The sequence below is a fragment of the Homo sapiens genome, chromosome 10, assembly GCF_000001405.40.
Source record: "Homo sapiens chromosome 10, GRCh38.p14 Primary Assembly".
In the NCBI taxonomy this organism is placed as follows: Eukaryota; Metazoa; Chordata; class Mammalia; order Primates; family Hominidae; genus Homo; species Homo sapiens.
The window spans coordinates 92,576,017-92,595,706 of NC_000010.11; the positions used below are offsets into that span (position 1 = coordinate 92,576,017).

Below are 19,690 nucleotides of genomic sequence, written 5' to 3' on the forward strand. Positions count from 1 at the left end.
GAGGAGGTGGATGGAAAGAAAAGTAACAATTTTGAGAGTCTACTCTGTGTCTGGCATTGTACATGGCTCCTTCATTAGTCATCATGACCACCCTCTGTAATGGATATTTCCTCACCTACCAGAGATGAGGAAGCTGTGGCAGAGAGAGGTTGAGTAACTTGCCAACAATTGGACAAAAAGAGTGGAGTTGTAATTTGAACCCAGGACTGTCTTATTCCAAAACCTGTGATTTGCTCATCTCATTTATGACTTGACAAATATTTGTTGAATGCCTTACAGATACCAGGTATTATAAAGGTGCTGGGAATACAGCAGTGGACAAAAAAGACAAAAGTTTCTGTCTTGATGGAGATTACCTTCTAGCTGTGTGGGAAAAACAGATAATAATCAAGTGAGTAAGTGATATGAAGGAACAGGTGGTCAGGAAAGGCCTCTTTGAGGAAGTGACATTCAGGCAGACCCCAGAATGATGAGAAAAAGTAGGAAATGTGAAGGTCTAGGGTGTAATCTTTCCCACTCTCACTCAAACAAGTATAAGGTGTAAACCACCTAGACAACTTTTTTTTCTTTTCTTTCTTTTTTTTTTTTTGATGGAGTCTCGCTCTGTCACCAGGCTGGAGTGCAGTGGCGCGATCTCGGCTCACTGCAACCTCCACCTCCCGGATTCATGTGATTCTCCTGCCTCAGCCTCCAGAGTAGCTGGGACTACTGGCGCACGCCACCATGCCCAGCTAATTTTTGTATTTTTAGTAGAGACGGGATTTCACCATGCTGGCCAGGATGGTCTCGATCTCTTGACCTCATGATCCCCCCTACCTCAGCTTCCCAAAGCGCTGGGATTATAGGCGTGAGCCTCCATGCCCGGCCTACAACTTTTTTAGAAGCAGAAAAAGTAATGTGCTGAAGTCATTCTTTGCCTTAGATAGGAAAACTAGACACATATTCAAATATAAGTATTCTGATATACTGGAAGCCAAATATTAGTGTTTATCTGTGCTGTAAGTTCCTTCCATTAGCCCAGATAGAATAGAGTTCACCATAGAGCTGAGTCAGGAGTTCCTAATGATTGAAAGAAAAAAACTTAAAAAGGAAGCCCAGTGGTGACAGATTGGCGTTTATTTCCTAATTGGTAATGTTCAGAAAAATAATATCTTTTGTCCCCCCAGATGTTTTAGCAGAGGAAAGAAAAGGAATTTTTTTTTTTTTTTTGAGGCGAAGTTTTGCTCTTGTCACCCAGGCTGGAGTGCAATGGCATGATCTTGGCTCAGCGCAACCTCCGCCTCCCAGGTTCAAGCAAATCTCCTGCCTCAGCCTCCCAAGTAGCTGGGATTACAGGCATGCGCCACCACACCCAGCTAATTTTTGTGTTTTTAGTAGAGACGGGTTTCTCCATGTTGATCAGGCTGGTCTCCAACTCCCAACCTCAGGTGACCCGCCTGTCTTGGCCTCCCAAAGTGCTGGGATTACAGGCGTGAGCCACCGCGCCCGGGCAAGAATTTTTTTTTTTTTTTTTTTTAAATAGGCCGGGTGCAGTGGCTCACACCTGTAATCCCAGCTCTTTGGGAGGATGAGGCAGGTGAATCACTTGAGGTGAGGAGTTTGAGACCAGCCTGGCTAACATGGTGAAACCCTGTCTCTACAGAAAAATTAAAAAATTAGCTGGGCATGATGGTGTGCACCTGTGTCCCAGCTACTTGGGAGGCTGAGGCACAAGAATCGCTTGAACCTGGGAGGCAGAGGTTGCAGTGAGCTGAGATCGTGCCACTGCACTCCGGCCTAGGTTACAGAGTGAGACCCTGTCTCGAAAATAAAACTTAAAATGTCTTTTGAGACTGGGCACAGTGACTCACGCCTGTAATCCCAGCACTTTGGGAGGCCAAAGTGGGCGGATCACCTGAGGTTGGGAGTTCGAGACCAGCCTGACCAACAGGGAGAAAACCCGTCTCTACTAAAAATACAAAATTAACTGGACATGGTGGCGCATGCCTGTAATCCCAGCACTCGGAAGGCTGAGGCGGGAGAATTGCTTGAACCCGGGAGGCGGAGGTTGCGGTGAGCCGAGATGAAGCCATTGCACTCCAGCCTGGACAACGAGTGAAACTCCATCTCAAAAAAAAAAAATGTCTTTTGAACTAATCTAGCCTATTGTTATATATTCAAAATCAAAATCTGAATTCTGAATCCACCAACTCAAAATTTTGTACAAATAGCTAAAGAGAAAGCATACCTAGGTAGTTAATAACAAAGGAAAATTTAAAGTTAGGGCCAGACGCGGTGGCTTATGCCTGTAATCCCAACAATTTGGGAGGCAGAGGTGAGAGGGTGCTTGAGCTCAGGAGTTCAAGACCAGCTTTGGCTACATAGTCAGGCCTTGTCTATATAAAAAAATAAAAACTAAATTAGGCAGCAGGTGCAGTAGCTCATGCCTGTAATGCTAGCACTTTGGGAGGCCAAAGCAGGAGGATCACTTGAGCTTAGGAGTTCGAGACCAGCCTGGGCAACATAGACCTCATCTCTATTTAAAATAAAGATAAAATCAAAACAAAACAAAAAATTAGCCGGGCATGGTGGTGCATGCCTGCGGTCCCAACTACTCTGGATGTTGAGGTGTGAGGATGGCTTGAGCCCAGGAGGTGGAAGTTGCAGTGAGCCAAAATCATGCCACTGCACTCCAGCCTGGGCAAGACTGCCAGACCCTGTCTCAAACAACAATTCTTACAAGACCTTAAACATTTTTCATAAACATCATTTTTATTTGTATTATTTTTTAAGGCTCTTGAGCAATGCCAATTCTTTAATGAACAGCTGAGGAACATTGGTTTTAGCCATCAATTTTCTTTTTCTCAAAAGAAAAATGTCTCAAAAGACATTTTTTTTTTAATTGAGACAGAGTCTCACTCTGTCACCCAGGCTGGAGTGCAATGGTGTGGTCTTGGCTCACTGCAACCTCTACCTCCCAGGTTCAAGCGATTCTCCTGCCTCAGCCTCCTGAGTAGCTAGGATTATAGGCACCTGCCACCACGCTCAGCTAATTTTTGTATTTTTAGTAGAGACAGGGTTTCACCATGTTGGCCAGGCTGGTCTCAAACTCCTGACTTCAGGTGATCCACCCACCGCAGCCTCCCGAAGTGCTGGGGTTACAGGCATGAGCCACTGCACCCGGCCTTTTTTATCTTTTTAAAACGGGGTCTCCCTCTGTGGCCCAGGCTGGAGTGCAGTGGAGTGATCTCAGCTCACTGCAACCTCTGCCTCCCGGGTTCAAGCGATTCTCCTGCCTCAGCCTCCCAAGTAGCTAGGACTACAGGCATGAGCCACCACGCCCTGCTGATTTTTTTGTATTTTTAGTTGAGACTGGGTTTCACCATGTTGGCCAAGCTGGTCTCGAACCCCTGACCTCAGGTGATCTGCCCACCTCGGCCTCCCAAAGTGCTGGGATTACAGGCATGAAAACCACCGCACCCAGCCTTATTTTATGTGTCTTAATTTTCTCATTTATCTCTCTCACTAACATGTAAATACCACAAGCATAGAAACCTGGTTGCTCTTTTCTCTGGTGTATCCTCAACATTGAAAGCAAGCCCTGGGCCCATAATATTTGTTGAATGCATAAATCAAGAGTTGTCTTAACTGTGTGTGGAAAATACGAATTATAGATCCTGCCCATAAAGTAACTCAAATTTACCTTTAAGGACTAGCAAAGATGAGTCATTTAGGAAAACTCCTAACAAACAAATTTATAATTAATCACTTATCTATAAAACATTTTTAAAAATTCATGTTGCTTTTAGGTATTTTATTACCATAGTATTGTACTTAAAACTAATATACATTTTAAAACTTTTTATTGGGAGGGGCACGGTGGCTCACGCCTGTAATCCCAGCACTTGGGGAGGCTGAGGCGGATGGCTCACCTAAGGTCAGGAGTTCGAGACCAGCCTGGCCAATGTGATGAAACCCTGACTCTACTAAAAATACAAAAAATTAGCCGGGTACAGTGGCAGGCGTTTGTAGTCCCAGCTACCCAGGAGGCTGAGGCAGGAGAATTGCTTGAACCCAGGAGGCAGAGGTTGCAGTGAGCCAAGATCATGCCATTGCACTCCAGCCTGGGCAACAAGAGCAAAACTCTGTCTCATTAAAAAAAAGAAAAAAAGAAAAAAAGCTGGGCATGGTGGCTCACGCCTGTAATCCCAGCACTTTGGGAGGCCGAGGTAGGTGGATCACCTGAGGTCGAGAGTTGGAGACCAGCCTGACCAACATGGAGAAGCCCCGTCTCTATTAACACAAAATTAGCCAGGTGTGGTGGTGCATGCCTGTAATCCCAGCTACTCAGGAGGCTGAGGCAGGAGAATTGCTTAAACCTGGGAGGTGGAGAGTGCAGTGAGCTGAGATTGCGCCATTGCACTCCAGCCTGAGCAACAAGAGCGAAACTCTGTCTCAAAAAGAAAAAAAAAAAGAAAAAAGAGAAAACTTTGTATTATGGAACAAGTAGTCAAACATAAACAAAATAAAAGAAAATAGTATAACTATTCCAGGCAAAATATGATTTTAGAATTCTATAGCCCAATAATGTCAACATAGATTTTGTGATTTAGGATAAAAACATTTTGAAAAATACGATTTTAGAATTCCACAGCCAAACAATGTCCATAAATAAATACCCCAGGCATCCATTCATTATTCAGCTTCCATAATTACCAGTTCATGGCCAATATTGTTCTATCTTTTCCTCCAACTCCCTCAACCTCCACTAAATTATTCTGAACCAAATACCGGGCATCATATTATTAATATTTCATCTCAGTATTTCAGTATATGTCTCAAAGGACTTAAAGAAAATCCACAGGCACTAACATACTTAAAACATTAAGATAATTATTTAATATAATCAAATATGTAGTCAGTGTTCCCACTTTCCTGAGTGTTCCCACTTTCCTGATTGCCTCAAATGTTTCTTTTTCACAATGGGTTTGTTCAAATCAGGATCCAAACAAGAACAAAACACTTCATTTAATTAATATGTTTCCTTTTTTTATTTTGTTTTGTATCTTTTGAAGATGATCTTTTTTGAAGAGTTTATTGAAGTATTGCAAACAGAAAAGTAAACAAGTGATAAGTGTACAGCTCAGTGAATTTTCAAAAACTGAACACATCCCTGTAAACACACCCAGAAGCTCTGCCTTATTCTCCGTTTCAGTCACTGTCACCCCAAGGGTAAACACTAACCTGACTTCTAACACAATAAATTAGTTTTGCCTGGATTACAGTTTAATATAAATGCACTCATACAGTATATACTCTTTTGGGTCTGGCTTTGTTTAACTATCTGGTGAGATTTATCCATATTTTTTAGAATAATTTTTGTTTGTTCACTTTCTTTTCTTTTCTTTCTTTTCTTTTTTTTTTTTTTTTTTTTTTTGAGACAGTCTCACTCTGTTGCCCAGGCTGGAGTGCAGTGGCGTGATTTCAACTCACTGCAACCTCTGCCTTTCAGGTTTAAGTGATTCTCCTGCCTCAGCCTCCCAAGTAGCTTGGATTACAGGGGCCCACCACCATGCCCTGCTAATTTTTTTTTTTTTTTTTAGTAGAGACCGGGTTTCACAATGTTGGTCAGGCTGGTCTTGAACTCCTGACCTCAGATGATCCTCCTGCCTCAGCCTCCCAAAGTTCTGGGATTACAGACATGAGCCACCGCGCCGGCCTGTTTGTTTACTTTTTTTTTTGAGATGAAGTCTCACTCTGTCAGCAGGCTGGAGTGCAGTGGTGCAATCTTGGCTCACTGCAACCTCCGATTCCCTGGTTTAAGCAATTCTGTCTCAACCTCCCAAGTAGCTGGGATTACAGGCATGCGCCACAATGCCCAGCTAATTTTTTGTATTTTTAGTAGAGACGGGGTTTTCACTGTGTTAGCCAGGATGGTCTCAATCTCCTGACCTCAGGTGATCCACCTGCCTTGGCCTCCCAAAGTGCTGGGATTATAGGCGTGAGCCACCGTGCCTGGCCCATAGCTTGTCAATTCTAAATCTTTTATTTATTTATTTATTTATTTATTTATTTATTTTGTTTGTTTGTTTGAGACGGAGTCCTGCTCTGTCACCCAGGCTAGAGTGCAGTGGCAGAATGTCGGCTCACTGCAACCTCTGCCTCCCGTGTTCAAGAGATTCTCCTGCCTCAGCCTCCTGAGTAGCTGGGATTACAAGTGCATGCCACTATGCCTGGCTAATTTTTGTATTTTTAGTAGAGATGGGGTTTCACCATATTGGTCAGGCTGGTCTCAATCTCCTGACCACACAATCCATCCGGCTCGGCCTCCCAAAGTGCTGGGATTACAGGCATGACCCACCACGCCTGGCCAATTTTTGTATTTTTTTAGTAGAGATGGGGTTTCGCCATGTTGGTCAAGCTGGTCTTAAACTCCTGACAGGTGATCCATCTGCCTTGGCCTGCCAAAGTGCTAGGATTACAGGCGTGAGCCACTGCACCTGGCCTCTCCCTCCTCTTTTTTATTTTGCAATTTATTTGTCAAAGGAGTTGAGTCATTTATCCTATAGTGTTCCCAACATTCTAAATTTTGCTGACTGTATTCTTTTTATTTTTATTTTTTTGAGATGGAGTTTCGCTCTTGCTGCCCAGGAGCAACAAGAGGAGTGCAATGGAGTGACCTCGGCTCACTATAACCTCCGCCTCCTGGGTTCAAGTGATTCTCCTGCCTCAGCCTCCTGAGTAGATGGGATTACAGGCGTGCACCACCAAGCTCGGCTAATTTTTTTGTATTTTTTAGTAGAGACGGGGTTTCACCACGTTGCCCAGGCTGGTCTTGAACTCCTGACCTCAAGCGATCCACCCGCCTCAGTCTCCCAAAGTGCTGGGATTCCAGGCGTGAGCCAGCGTGCCCAGCCTGCTGACTGTATTCTTACAATGTGACTTAACATGTTTGTTTCTTATATTTCCTGTAAATGGTAGTTACATCCACCGATTTGATCAGATTCAGCAAATATGCATTTGAGAAGTGTTTACTAAGCACTGTGCTTGCTGCTAGGTGGGATACAAAAATGACTAAGACATCACTCCTAATCTATTGTTTATTATGAATATGAAAGGTTAAGGCCAGGCGTGGTGGCTCACACCTGTAATCCCAGCACTTTGGGAGGCTGAGGCAGCTGGATCACTTGAGGCCAGGAGTTGGAGACCAGACTGGCCAACAATGCAAAATCCCGTCTCTACTAAAAATACAAAAAGTAGCGGCTGGGCGCGGTGGCTCACACCTGTAATCCCAGCACTTTGGGAAGCTGAGACAGGCGGATCACCTGAGATCAGGAGTTCGAGACCAGCCTGACCAACATGGAGAAACCCCCGTCTCTACTAAAAATACAAAATTAGCCGGGTGTGGTGGTGCAGGCCTGTAATCCTAGCTACTCGGAAGGCTGAGGCAGGAGAATCACTTAAACCTGGGAGGTGGAGGTTGCAGTGAGCTGAGATTGCACCCTTGCACTCCAGCCTGGGCAACAAGAGCAAAACTCTGTCTCAAAAAAAAAAAAAAAAAAAACTAAAAATACAAAAAGCAGCCGGGTTTGGTGGTGCACACCTGTAGTCCTAGCTACTTGGGACACTGAGGCAGAAGACTCCCTTGAATCCGGGAGGCAAAGGCTGCAGTGAGCCGAGATCATGCCACTACACCCCAGCCTGGGTGACAGAGTGAGACCCTGTCTGCCTGTTTTTTTGTTTGTTTGTTTTGTTTTTGTTTTTTCTGAGACTGAGTTTTGCTCTTGTTGCCCAGGCTGGAGTGCAATGCCATGATCTCGGCTCACGGCAACTTCTGCCTCCCAGATTCAAGCAGTTCTCCCGCCTCAGCCTTCCAAGTAACTGAGATTACAGGCATGTGCCACCATGCCCAGTTAATTTTGTATTTTTAGTAGAGACAGAGTTTCTCCATGTTGGTCAGGCTGGTCTTGAACTCCCGACCTCAGGCGATCTGCCAGCCTCGGCCTCCCAAAGTGCTGGGATTACAACTGTGAGCCACCATGCCTGGCAGGGCAGGACTTTTTAAATTCATTTTTGTGACTATCACAGGGTATGCACCTAAGCTCAGTAAACATTTGTTGAGTAATTAAAACCAGCTAAAGGTGTTTTTGTTTTTTGTTTTTTTTGAGACGGAGTCTTGCTCTGTCACCCAGGCTGGAGTGTAGTGGTGCAATCTCAGCTCACTACAAGCTCCGCCTCCCGGGTTCATGCCATTCTCCTGCCTCAGCCTCCCAAGTAGCTGGGACTACAGGCGCCCGCCACCACACCCAGCTAATTTTTTTTGTACTTTTAGTAGAGATGGGGTTTCACCGTGTTAGCCAGGATGGTCTCGATCTCCTGACCTCGTGATCCACCTGCCTCGGCCTCCCAAAGTGCTGGGATTACAGGCCCGAGCCACCGCTCCTGGCCCCCATTTTTTTTTTCAAGATAAGATCTTGCTCTGTCACCCAGGCTGGAGTGCACTGGTATGATAATGACTCACTGCAGCCTCACCTCCCAGGCTCAAGTGATCCTCCCAGCTCAGCCTCCCGAGTAGTTGGGACCACAGGTGAGTGCCACCATGGCTGAGACTATTTTCATTTTTTGTAGAGATGAGGTCTGGAGAGTCTTGGAAGAATTCTTACGTTAAATAAAAATTCAGGATGCAAAATTCTATATCCAGGTTGAGCATAGTGGCTTACCCCTGTAATCCCAGCACTTAAGGAGGTAGAGGCAGAATGATAGTTTGAGTCCACGATAGTTTGAGTCCAGGAGTTCAAGACCTGCCTGGGCAACATAGTGAGACTCTGTTCTCCATAAAAAGGGGGGGAAAGACCAAAAAAACCCTATATATTCAATTATGATCTCAATTACTGAAAATATACAAATAGACAACTGGAAAGAAATACATCAAAATATTAATGGTAGTAATTGCTGGGTGGTAGAAATCTGCTATCTCTATACAGGAGTTCCAGAAAGAAACAACAGACGTGGCAAGTGAAATAGTCAATGAATAATTCAAAAACATTTCCCAGACTGAAGGTAACAACTTGCCAGACTGTGGCTCAGCCCAATTAATGAAAGTAGATGCACACATTGGCTGGGCATGGTGGCTCACACCTGTAATCCCAGCACTTTGGGAGGCCAAGGCGGGCGGACCATGAGGTCAGGAGATCGAGACCATCCTGGTTAACATGGTGAAACCCCGTCTTTACTAAAAACACAAAAAATTAGCCGGGCGTGGTGGCGGGCGCCTGTAGTCTCAGCTACTCCGGAGGCTGAGGCAGGAGAATAGCGTGAACCCAGGAGGCGGAGCTTTCAGTGAGCCAAGATTGCGCCACTGCACCCAGCCTGGGCGACAGTGTGAGACTCCGTGTCAAAAAAAAAAAAAAGAAAGAAAGAAAGTAGATGCACACCAAGGCACATCATTGCAAGATTTCTTTTTTTTGTTTTTTGTTTTTTTTTGAGACAGCATCTCACTCTGTTGCCCCAGCTAGAGTACAGTGGCACGATCTCAGCTCACTGCAACCTCCACCTCCCGGGTTCAAGCGATTCTCCTGCCTCAGCCTCCCAAGTAGCTGGGACTACAGGCACGCGCCACCATGCCCGGCTAATTTTTGTATTTATAGTAGAGATGGGGTTTCACCATATTGGCCAGGCTGGTCTCGAACTCCTGACCTCGTGATCCACCCACCTCAGCCTCCCAAAGTGCTGGGATTACAGGCGTGAGCCACCATGCCCAGCTGCAAGATTTCTTTCTTTTTTTCTTTTCTTTTTTTTTTTTTTTTTTTTTTTTTTTTTGAGACGGAGTCTTGCTCTGTCACCCAGGCTGGAGTGCAGTGGTGCAATCTCGGCTCACTGTAACCTCCACCTCCCAGGTTCAAGCGATTGTCATGCCTCAGCCTCCAAGTAGCTTGGATTACAGACGTGCATCACCACGCCCAGCTAATTTTTATATTTTTAGTAGAGACACGGTTTCACCATGTTGGCCAGGCTGGTCTCAAACTCCCAACTTCAGGTGATCCACCTGCCTCGGGCTCCCAAAGTGCTGGGATTACAGACATGAGCCGCCACACCCCGCCTCATTGCAAAATTTCTAGTCACTAGAATGAAATGCTCAGCTATGAACAGACATAATGACCTGAATACAGATAATTGATTTAACCAGAAATTGTAATATTGGGTATTAGAGAAGGAAATGCAGAGAGGATGGTAAAGTTTGAGAACTAAACCTCACCTACCATAAGATGTCAATAAATAATGTCTAAAATGGATTAATCAAAAGATAACGGTATAGGTCTGGCACAGGGGTGGCTCATGCCTATAATCCTAGCACTTTGGAAGGCTGAGGCGGAGGATTGCTTGAGTCCAGCAGCTTGAGACCAGCCTGGGTAACAAAGCAATACCCTGTGTCTATGAACAACTTTAAAAATTACTGGGTGTGGTGGTGTGTGCCTGTAGTCCCAGGTACTCATGAGGCTGAGGCAGTAAGATCACTTCAACTGATGCAGTTGAGGCTATTCAGGAGGTGGAAGTGGACTGCTGGAACCCAGGAGGTCAAGGGCCAGGCGCGGTGGCTCATGCCTGTAATTCCAGCACTTTGGGAGGCCAAGGTGGGGGAATCACTTGAGCCCAGGAGTTCAAGACCAGCCTGGACAACAAAGTGAGACCCTGTCTCTACAAAAAATAGAAAAAAATTTGCCAGGTGTAGTGGCATGTGCCTGTGGCCCCAGCTACTCAGGAGGCTGAGGCAATAGGATTGCTTCAATGGGAGCAGTTGAGGCTGCAGTGATACCTGATAGAGCCACTGCACTCTAGCCTAGGCAACAGAGTGAGACCCTGTCTCAAAAAAATAATAAATAAATAAATAAATACAAATAACAGTATATACAAATTCCTTATGAAAATAGAAATGTGTAAATGCCAGCAAAAACAACTAAAGTGGTTGGTTGTTTCTGGGGTAAAGGTCTAGAGGCATTGGTGTGGAATAAGGCTGAGAAAATACTTTTTTTGTTGTTGTTGTTACAAGCCTTTTAGAACTATTTAACTTTATAAAACATTTCCACGTTTTTCTTTTCTTTTCCTTTCTTTCCTTTCTTTCTTTCTTTCTTTTTTTTTTTTTTGAGACAAAGTCATACTCTGTCACCCAGGCTGGAGTGCAGTGGCATGCTCTTGGCTCACTGCAACTTCTGCCTCCCAGGTTCAGGCAGTTCTCCTGCCTGGTATTACAGGTATGAGCTGCCATGCCCAGCCTCCATGTTTTTCTTTAAGAAAAATAAAAATCAATTTAAAATAGTTTATTCGAGAAGTACATATACTCCTGAAAGAGAAATGCCAGAGCAAACACGTGGGCAACGATGTTGCATTGTTAGAATTCAGTTTAACTAGACTTAAATTATTATTATTATTATTGAGACGGAGTCTTGCTGTGTCGCCAGGCTGGTGTGTAGTGGCGTGATCTCGGCTCACTGCAGCCTCTGCCTCCCAAGTTCAAGTGATTCTCCTGCCTCAGTCTCCCGAGTAGCTGGGACCACTGGCACACGCCACCATGCTAAATTTTTTTTTTTTTTTTTTTGTATTTTTAGTAGAGACAAGGTTTCACCATATTGGCTAGGATGGTCTCAAACTCCTGACCTGGTGATCTGCCCATCTTGGCCTTCCAAAGTGCTGGGATTACAGGTGTGAGCCACCACACCCGGCCCCAGCTAATTTGTTTGTTTTGAGATGGAACCTCGCTCTGTTGCCCAGGCTGGAGTGCAATGGTGTGATCTTGGCTCACTGCAACCTCCACCTCCAGGGTTCAAGCGATTCTCCTGCCTCAGCCTCCCAAGTAGCTGGGATTACAGTCACGTGCCATCACACCCAGCTAATTTTTGTATTTTTAGTAGAGATGGGGTTTCGCCATGTTGGCCAGGATGGTCTCGAACCCCTGACCTCAGGTGATCTACCTGCCTTGGCCTCCCAAAGTGCTGGGATTACGGGCGTAAGCCTCCGTGCCCAGCCGAGAAATGTTGATTATTAGGCTGAGTAGTTTGAACTCAACAAAGGCAATGTAAAATGACATTTCAGGGACTGCTTAGTGCAACAAAACACTTACATGGGGCCATTAGACCCTAACTATCTCTATTAGACTTAGCCCTGAGGGCAAGTACAATAATTCAGCCTGTATATTCACTGCCAGGCCCACAGTAAGCATTTCAAGAAGAGTATGAGAAAAGTGGATGTGACCAGGCATGGTGGCTCATGCCTGTAATCTCAGCACTTTGGGAGGCTGAGGTGGGTGGATCACGAGGTCAGGAGTTCGAGACCATCCTGGCCAACATGGCGAAACCTCGTCTCTACTAAAAATACAAAAATTAGCTGGGTGTGGTAGCGCGTGCCTGTAAACCCAGCTATTCAGAGGCTGAGGCATGAGAATTGCTTGAACCCGGGAGGCAGAGGTTGCAGTGAGCCAAGATTGTGCCACTGTACTCCAGCCTGGCGACACAGCAGTACTCCATCTCAATTAAAAAAAAAAAAAAGAATACATGTGCACTTAGCAAATGAAAAAAACTCAATGGGAAAGACAGTAGTTAAGAACCTGGGAGTTGGAATGGGAAAGAATTCTAAGTTCCTTCCCTAATAGTTAACCTTATACTATGATTAAAGTGTAAGTACAGTGATATGCTGTATGACTACAGACAAACTTATTTGGCTAGTTTACTGATAAAATAGTAGAAAATAATAGTTCCTACTTCACAAAGTTGTTCTGAAGATTAAATGAGATGATACACACAAAGCCTTTAGCATGGAGTCTGACTCACAGTAAACCCTAGGTAAATGGTAGCTGTATCTATTATCAAATGGAGACTCTTGAATTTCTTGCGTCAACCCATGTGACTGTTAACATATATATTGTTTGAATATTTGCTAAAGAGAAAGGAAAGACGGCCCAGCAGGGTAGCTTATGCCTATAATTCCAGCAGTTTAGGAGGCTGAGGTGGGAGGATTACTTGAGACCAGGAGTTCAAGACCAGCCTGGGCAGCATAGGGAGACCCCCATATCTACCAAAGGAAAAAAAAATTAGCCAGGTCTGGTGGCTTGTGCCTATAGTCCCAGCTACTCAGGAGGCTGAGATGGGAGGATCCCTTGAGCCCAGGAGGTCCAGGCTTCAGTGAGCCGTGATGGTGTATTGTACTCCAGCCTTGGTGATAGAGCAAGACCCTGACTCAAAAAAAAAAAAAGAAAGAAAAGGGGATTTTTTTTTTTTTTGAGACAGAGTCTAGCTCTGTCACCCAGGCTGGAGTCCAGTGGTGCCATCTCGGCTCACTGCAACCTCTACCTCCTGGGTTGAAGCGATTCTCCTGCTTCAGCCTCCTGAATAGCTGGGACTATAGGCGCCCTCCACCACACCTGGCTAATTTTTTTTGTATTTTTAGTAGAGACGGGGTTTTACCATATTTATTGGCCAAACTGGTCTTGAATTCCTGACCTTATGATCTGCCCATCTCGGCCTCCCAAAGTGCTGGGATTAAAGGCATGAGCCACCGTGCCCAGCCAGTGTACTTTATATGTATCCCAGGTACTTTATATGTTATTTTAATCCTCACAATAATAGTAATTATTATTATCTCCATTTTACAGATAAGGAAACCAAGGCTGATAGAGGTGAAGTAATTTCCTTCAGGTACTCAATATATATTTATTGAGTAAAGCCTTACTTTGGTGTAAGGCTTGTTCAAGACACTGGGAAAATAATACTGAACAAAAAGACAGGGTCCCTAATGAAACTTACATTCTATCCAGGGAGACACACAATATATTGACAATATAATATATTGTCAATACACACAATATATTGCCTGTAGTGTTATGAAGAAAATAGACAGGGTTCTGAGATAGAAGGTTATAAGAGGAAGGCCAGGTGCAGTGGCTCACATCTGTAATTCCAGCACTTTGGGAGGCCAAGGAGGGCAGATTACTTGAGGCCAGGAGTTCGAGACTAGCCTGGCCAACATGGTGAAACCGAGTCTCTATTAAAAATATAAAAAAAAATTAGCCGGGCGTGGTGGGGCACTTGTAATCCCACCTATTCAGGAGGCTGAGGCACAAGAATTGCTTGAACCCAGGAGGCGGAGGTTGCGGTGAGCCGAGATCCCGCCACTGCACTTCAGCATGGGGGACCAGGACAAGACTCCGTCTCAAAAAAAAAAAAAGAAAATTATGAAGAATGTGCTTTAGATAGGGTGGTCAGAAGAGGTGTTTTTAAAAGAAAAAGTTCAACTGAGAGCTGAAGAATGAGATGGGTAAGCCATGCAAAGAGCCAAACAGAGTTCAGGGCAGAGGGTACGTCAGGTACAAGGGCCTGGCCACAGGAAAAAGCTAGGAGCTCTGAAGCATGGTAATGAGATTTTTGGAAAGTGCCTTTAGTTGGTGGTATGGACAAGGGCCAGATCATGAGGACCCTACAGAGCATGGTAATGAGTTTGGATTTAATTCCAAATACAAATGAGAAGGTAATGTAAGATTAAAAAGCAGATGAAGAGCATAATCTTATTTTCTTATTTCTTAAAAGACACTTCCCTTGCTGAGTAAATGTAGTGGAGGAGTTGGGGGTAGGAGAAAAGGGCAGAAGAGAAACTTGTTAAGGAGGTAGATGACATTTGTTCAGGGAAGAGATAAGAGCCTTGTACTAGGGTGATCATCGGAGGGGAGATAAAATCAACAGGACTCCACTACACGTGGAGGAATCAAAGGTTCTGGTTAGCACCAGTATCCAGATGAGAAAAGATTAGGGTGGAGATAGGTCCCATTTTGAAATGCCAGCGAGCCACCTAAGAGGAGATATCAATAGACAGCTGGCTACTCAAAATAGAGATGACCAGCAGAAGGAGCTGTAGATGCAGTTATTTCCTTGGGGCGGGTTGTGCGGGGGGGCGCATGTAGGGGATTAGCAAGTGGAGGAACACAAAAAGGACATCAGAGCTTTCCACTACACCGGGTTGTTACTTAATAGACTAACACGACATTTAGGTTCCCATGGGTTGTGTGGGCCAGAAGCGCAGTTCCAGGAACCGACTACAACATAGTGTGGGATATGATGTTTCTCTTCAAATAACCCGATCAATCTTTTATTCTTTAATTCATAGTACCCTCCCTTTTTTCTCTTTTTCTCCTTTTTTGCTTTTGTTAAATGCCCAGGCACGCCACAATACTAGGCCTTATCAATACCAGCTCACATTCCTTTCCTTATTTGAAGGGACTAACTTTTTAGCTCATTACAGACACCCCTTCCCCTTTCCTGTCCGCTTTCTTTTAAGTACCCACCTTAGCTAAAAAAAATCAAATGTTTAGCCAACCGGGATTAGTTTAGATTATACGACCCGACCCCAGCCAATGGGAAAAAGATACAGGGGCAGGACTTGCGTCAAAAATAGACTCCTGCCCCTTTGTTCAGGTGTGCTCTCAAGGCGACTGGCCAAAAAGGCACCCCTCTGCGCAAAAATAAAATTGCTTTGCTAAAAATCCTTTGTTCAAGTGTTCAATTTCCTTAAGATTTTAAAAGTTATTCATAACAATAGGCTCCTGTTTCAGTATTTCCTGGTGCGGCGTACCACACCTACAGCGGTCGAGTCACGCCAGGCACTGCCAAGACGCCGAAAAGTTCTCCCGCAGCAGGCCGGAGGTGACCGACGGCGCGCAGGCCCCAGCGAGCGCTGCATGCTGGGATCCGTAGGCCGGGGCGGCGGATGTTTGCGCAGCTTCCTTGAGATGCCACCGCCCGCTGCGCCGCGCAGAAACGGGGAGCGCAGCGCACCCGCGGCCTGCGTCACTCGGTCAGTGCAGTCGTTCTAAAATCGAGGCGGACCCTGCTTTCTTGCCTGGAGTCACTTAGAGATGATGACTAAAGGATAAATTCAGAGTCCTCCAAATGGCGTCCAGTGTCCATTTCATCACGATTTGGAACCTGTAGTAGCCTTATCGCTTAACACTTCCTAATTATTATTATTATTATTTTCTTTTTGAGAAAGGGCATTGCTCTGTCGCCTATGCTGGAGTAATCCAGCGACATAATCCCGGCTCACTGCAGCCTCTATCTCCCGTGTTCAGCGATCCTTCTTCCTCAGCATCCCGAGTAGATGGGACCAAAAGGCACGCATCACCACACCAGGCTATTTTTTCCCCTCTATTTTTTGTTGAGACCCGTTGGGAGGCGCGGGGAGGGGGGTCTCCCTATGTCGCCCAGACTGGTCTCAAACTCCTGGAACTTAAGTTATCGTCCTACCTCGGCCCGTTAAAGTGTTGGGATTACAGGCCTGAGCCACCGGGCCCCAACATTAATTATTCTTCAAGCCTATTCTGGACCGGGCGCGGTGGCTCACGCCTGTAATCCCAGCACTTTGGGAGGCCGAGGCGGGTGGATCATCTGAGGTCAGGAGTTCGAGACCAGCCTGGCCAACATGGTGAAACCACATCTCTACTGAAAATACAAATATTAGCCGGGCGTGGTGGCACGCACCTGTAATCCCAGCTACTCGGGGGCTGAAGCAGCAGAATCGCTTGAACCTGCGAGGCGGAGGTTGCAATGAGCCGAGATCGCGCCACTGCACTCCAGCCTGGGTGACAAGAGCAAGACTCCGTCTCTCACACACACACACACACACACACACACACAAAGACTATTCTGGTCTCTGCCTCCGGGATGGCGGCTCGCTTTGGACCTCTCTTCTGTGCTTCTACTGCCCTCTCTTACAATTCTCTAATAATTATAATCATGGCGAGTGCTTACCATATATTCCAATCTATTTACTTCCACAAGCTCATTAATTCTCACCCTAACCCTCTGAGATGGTTACTATTATTTCCTCTCTGCAGCTGAGGGAATTTTGGGCTAGGGACGTTATGTAAGTTGAGCCACGCTACGCTAAAAGTTCCACACTCAATTCTAGCGTCTCGGCTCTGGACTACCAAGTTCCGGAGCAAGCAGACAGACCACCTCTTTACGTTCCCGTAGGCCACGCTCCGGGGGCGGGGCTCCAGTGAGGATACTGCATCCCATGGTGCCTTGCGCGCCAGCGCAGCCATTGGTCCGGCTACTCTGTCTCTTTTTCAAATTGAGGCGCCGAGTCGTTGCTTAGTTTCTGGGGATTCGGGCGGAGACGAGATTAGTGATTTGGCGGCTCCGACTGGCGCGGGACAAACGCCACGGCCAGAGTACCGGGTAGAGAGCGGGGACGCCGACCTGCGTGCGTCGGTCCTCCAGGCCACGCCAGCGCCCGAGAGGGACCAGGGAGACTCCGGCCCCTGTCGGCCGCCAAGCCCCTCCGCCCCTCACAGCGCCCAGGTCCGCGGCCGGGCCTTGATTTTTTGGCGGGGACCGTCATGGCGTCGCAGCCAAATTCGTCTGCGAAGAAGAAAGAGGAGAAGGGGAAGAACATCCAGGTGGTGGTGAGATGCAGGTAGGGAGAGGGCTGACAGGATTCCGAGCGCTGCGGCTTCGCTGCTGGGCCCCCTACTGCGCGGTCCAGGGAGAGGGATTTTATTTGCATTTCCTGAGGGTCCCAGTTTCTTGGTTCTCCGCGTTCTGTTCAATAAAAATGACACCCGGTTGCTGTGTGTATGTGGTTTTTAGGAGAAAATAACATGTTTGATTTGATCACTGTTCCATACTGAAAAGTGCGTTCTTATGTTTAAACTATAGTCAATAAAGATGTAGGTGTCACTTTTATATGCTACTTCATGTAGTTTGTCAGTTTGGAAGTAAGACTGAATACCTATTTTGCAGATGGTTAAGCACTTACGTTGGTATTATTACCTCTAAAAAGCAATCAATCACTGTTCTCTTTATTCTAGATGCAATATTTTCTGCATCCCTACTAAACAAGTAAACATCTCTGTCTTTAAACATTAAAAATTAATAAAGTGAGTTTATGTTTTTTAAAAGATCAAGACAAGTTAAGCTAGTGTAAATTTCTGATTGTGCTGCAGTTTTCCCTTTCATCTGCGTGTTTGTTCATAGACCAAACTAAACGGATATTTCGAGATAAAGGGATGTGGAGGGGTGTTCGGCCCTCCCCTGACTGGTTTCCAAATAACTTCCCAATTTTAAAATAAGCTAGAAACTGCTGCTTAGTTAGAATTGATTTATTCAACTTTTTAGAGGCTCTCCACAGTTTACTGAGTATGTGTGTTTTGTGTGTCCGTTTTTGTGGCTGTTAACAGTTGCTGTTGCAACTTTTCTGTAAACCCCAAAGTATTCTAAAATTAAAAGGTTATTTTTTAGAAAAACTTGTATCAACAAACTTTCTTAGGCTATTGTTTACTCAGCCCTGGTAACTTGAATTGTGGATATCGAAGGTGATGACTAGGTTTCTAAACAAGGTGTCAGAGAGGAAATTGGGTGGCAATCTTAAGTCTAGCCAGTGACACTTACTAGTTGTTGTACTCTGGGGCTTCTGTTAGTAGTTAGTTGTTTGAAGATTTTTATTTAAAAATGCAGTGCATATAACAAGTGCAAATTTTAAAATTATTTTGGTTGTTTAATAAAACCAGGCAATATTACCTTTTCCGTATGCATTTATTTAATTTCTTTTTTAATGTTAGTTACAAAATATTTCAGACTTACAAAAAGTTATTAAGAACAATGTAATAAACATTTGTATATTCATCACCCAGATTAAGAAACAAAACAATCATTGCTGGAGCCCCCCTTTTCCCTCTCCATCCCTTTTCCTCCAGCCACTGTTAACCATTATCTTGAACTTGATGTTTATGATCCGTATACATTTCAAGTCTTAGAAGAGATTTACTTTATCACCAATGAATAGAATAGTTCTTTGCTTGTGTCTAATATTTACAATAATTTTTGTGTAAAGAGATTTTTTTTTTCAGATTAGCCTTTTTCTTTCAAATAGCCTTCCTGGTGCGTCTGTCATTAAGCATTAAGCTTTAGTAAATAGGCAACTTATGAGTTGCGAGGTCCTCAGGGGTTGGTAAGCCTTTTCTGTAAAGGGCCCAGAGAAATAAATATTTATTTTATTTAAATACTTTAGGCTTTGCAGATCACATGTGGTTTATCAGTTTTTTTTGAGACGGAGTCTCGCTCTCTTAGGCCGTAGTGCAGTGGTGCAATCTCAGCTCACTGCAACCTCCGCCTCCCGGATTCAAGCAATTTTCCCACTTCAGCCTCTCAGGTAGCTGGGATTACAGGCGCACACCGCCATGCCTGGCTAATTTTTGTATTTTTAGTAGAGATGGGGTTTCACCATGTTGGCCAGGCTGGTCTCGAACTCCTGACCTCAGAGAATCCACCCACCTTGGCCTCCCAAAGTGCTGGGATTATAGGCGTGAGCTACTGTACCCCTTTACATGTGGTTTCTGTCACATTATTTTCTGATCTTTTTTTTTTTAAGAACACTTTAAAACTGTAAAAATCATTCTTAAATCTGTCAGGGCAGGGGCCAGGTTTGACCCACAGGTTAAAGTTTACAGATCCCTACATAATGCGCTACTGGTTCTCTTTCTTATGTCCCTCCTATTCCATCCCCTATTTTTTTCCCAATTTAAAAAGTCATTTTCAAACACACATAATATAAAATTTAACATCTTAACCACTTTTAAGTGTACAGTTCAGTGATATTAAATACATAATATTCTGCAACAATTACTACCATCCATCTCCATAACTCTTTTCATCATGAAAAACTGAAACTC

At 44.9% G+C, this 19,690-nt stretch overlaps 1 protein-coding gene across 1 annotated transcript in view, besides 6 other annotated features; it reads left to right on the forward strand.

Annotated features, from left to right (window-relative positions):
* Positions 15,829-15,918: an enhancer, noted in NCBI's record as "active region_3772". NCBI's record gives its function as "activates an Ori minimal core promoter by ATAC-STARR-seq in GM12878 lymphoblastoid cells {active_cell/tissue: GM12878}" and the evidence as "EXISTENCE:reporter gene assay evidence [ECO:0000049][PMID:35858748]".
* Positions 16,729-16,918: an enhancer, noted in NCBI's record as "active region_3773". NCBI's record gives its function as "activates an Ori minimal core promoter by ATAC-STARR-seq in GM12878 lymphoblastoid cells {active_cell/tissue: GM12878}" and the evidence as "EXISTENCE:reporter gene assay evidence [ECO:0000049][PMID:35858748]".
* Positions 16,949-16,998: an enhancer, noted in NCBI's record as "active region_3774". NCBI's record gives its function as "activates an Ori minimal core promoter by ATAC-STARR-seq in GM12878 lymphoblastoid cells {active_cell/tissue: GM12878}" and the evidence as "EXISTENCE:reporter gene assay evidence [ECO:0000049][PMID:35858748]".
* Positions 17,100-17,851: an enhancer, noted in NCBI's record as "NANOG-H3K27ac-H3K4me1 hESC enhancer chr10:94352873-94353624 (GRCh37/hg19 assembly coordinates)". NCBI's record gives its function as "activates a minimal SCP1, AML or CMV promoter by ChIP-STARR-seq in naive H9 embryonic stem cells {active_cell/tissue: H9 hESC(naive)}" and the evidence as "EXISTENCE:reporter gene assay evidence [ECO:0000049][PMID:30033119]".
* The window catches only part of KIF11 (kinesin family member 11), a 62,266-nt gene continuing 59,689 nt past the window's right edge, over positions 17,114-19,690 (forward strand). Inside the window, exon 1 of the mRNA NM_004523.4 lies at positions 17,114-17,436. Coding sequence (NP_004514.2) covers positions 17,360-17,436 — 77 coding nt within the window. The 5' untranslated portion in view covers positions 17,114-17,359. The remainder of the gene's footprint in view (positions 17,437-19,690) is intronic.
* Positions 17,319-17,368: a silencer, noted in NCBI's record as "silent region_2618". NCBI's record gives its function as "represses an Ori minimal core promoter by ATAC-STARR-seq in GM12878 lymphoblastoid cells {active_cell/tissue: GM12878}" and the evidence as "EXISTENCE:reporter gene assay evidence [ECO:0000049][PMID:35858748]".
* Positions 17,449-17,518: a silencer, noted in NCBI's record as "silent region_2619". NCBI's record gives its function as "represses an Ori minimal core promoter by ATAC-STARR-seq in GM12878 lymphoblastoid cells {active_cell/tissue: GM12878}" and the evidence as "EXISTENCE:reporter gene assay evidence [ECO:0000049][PMID:35858748]".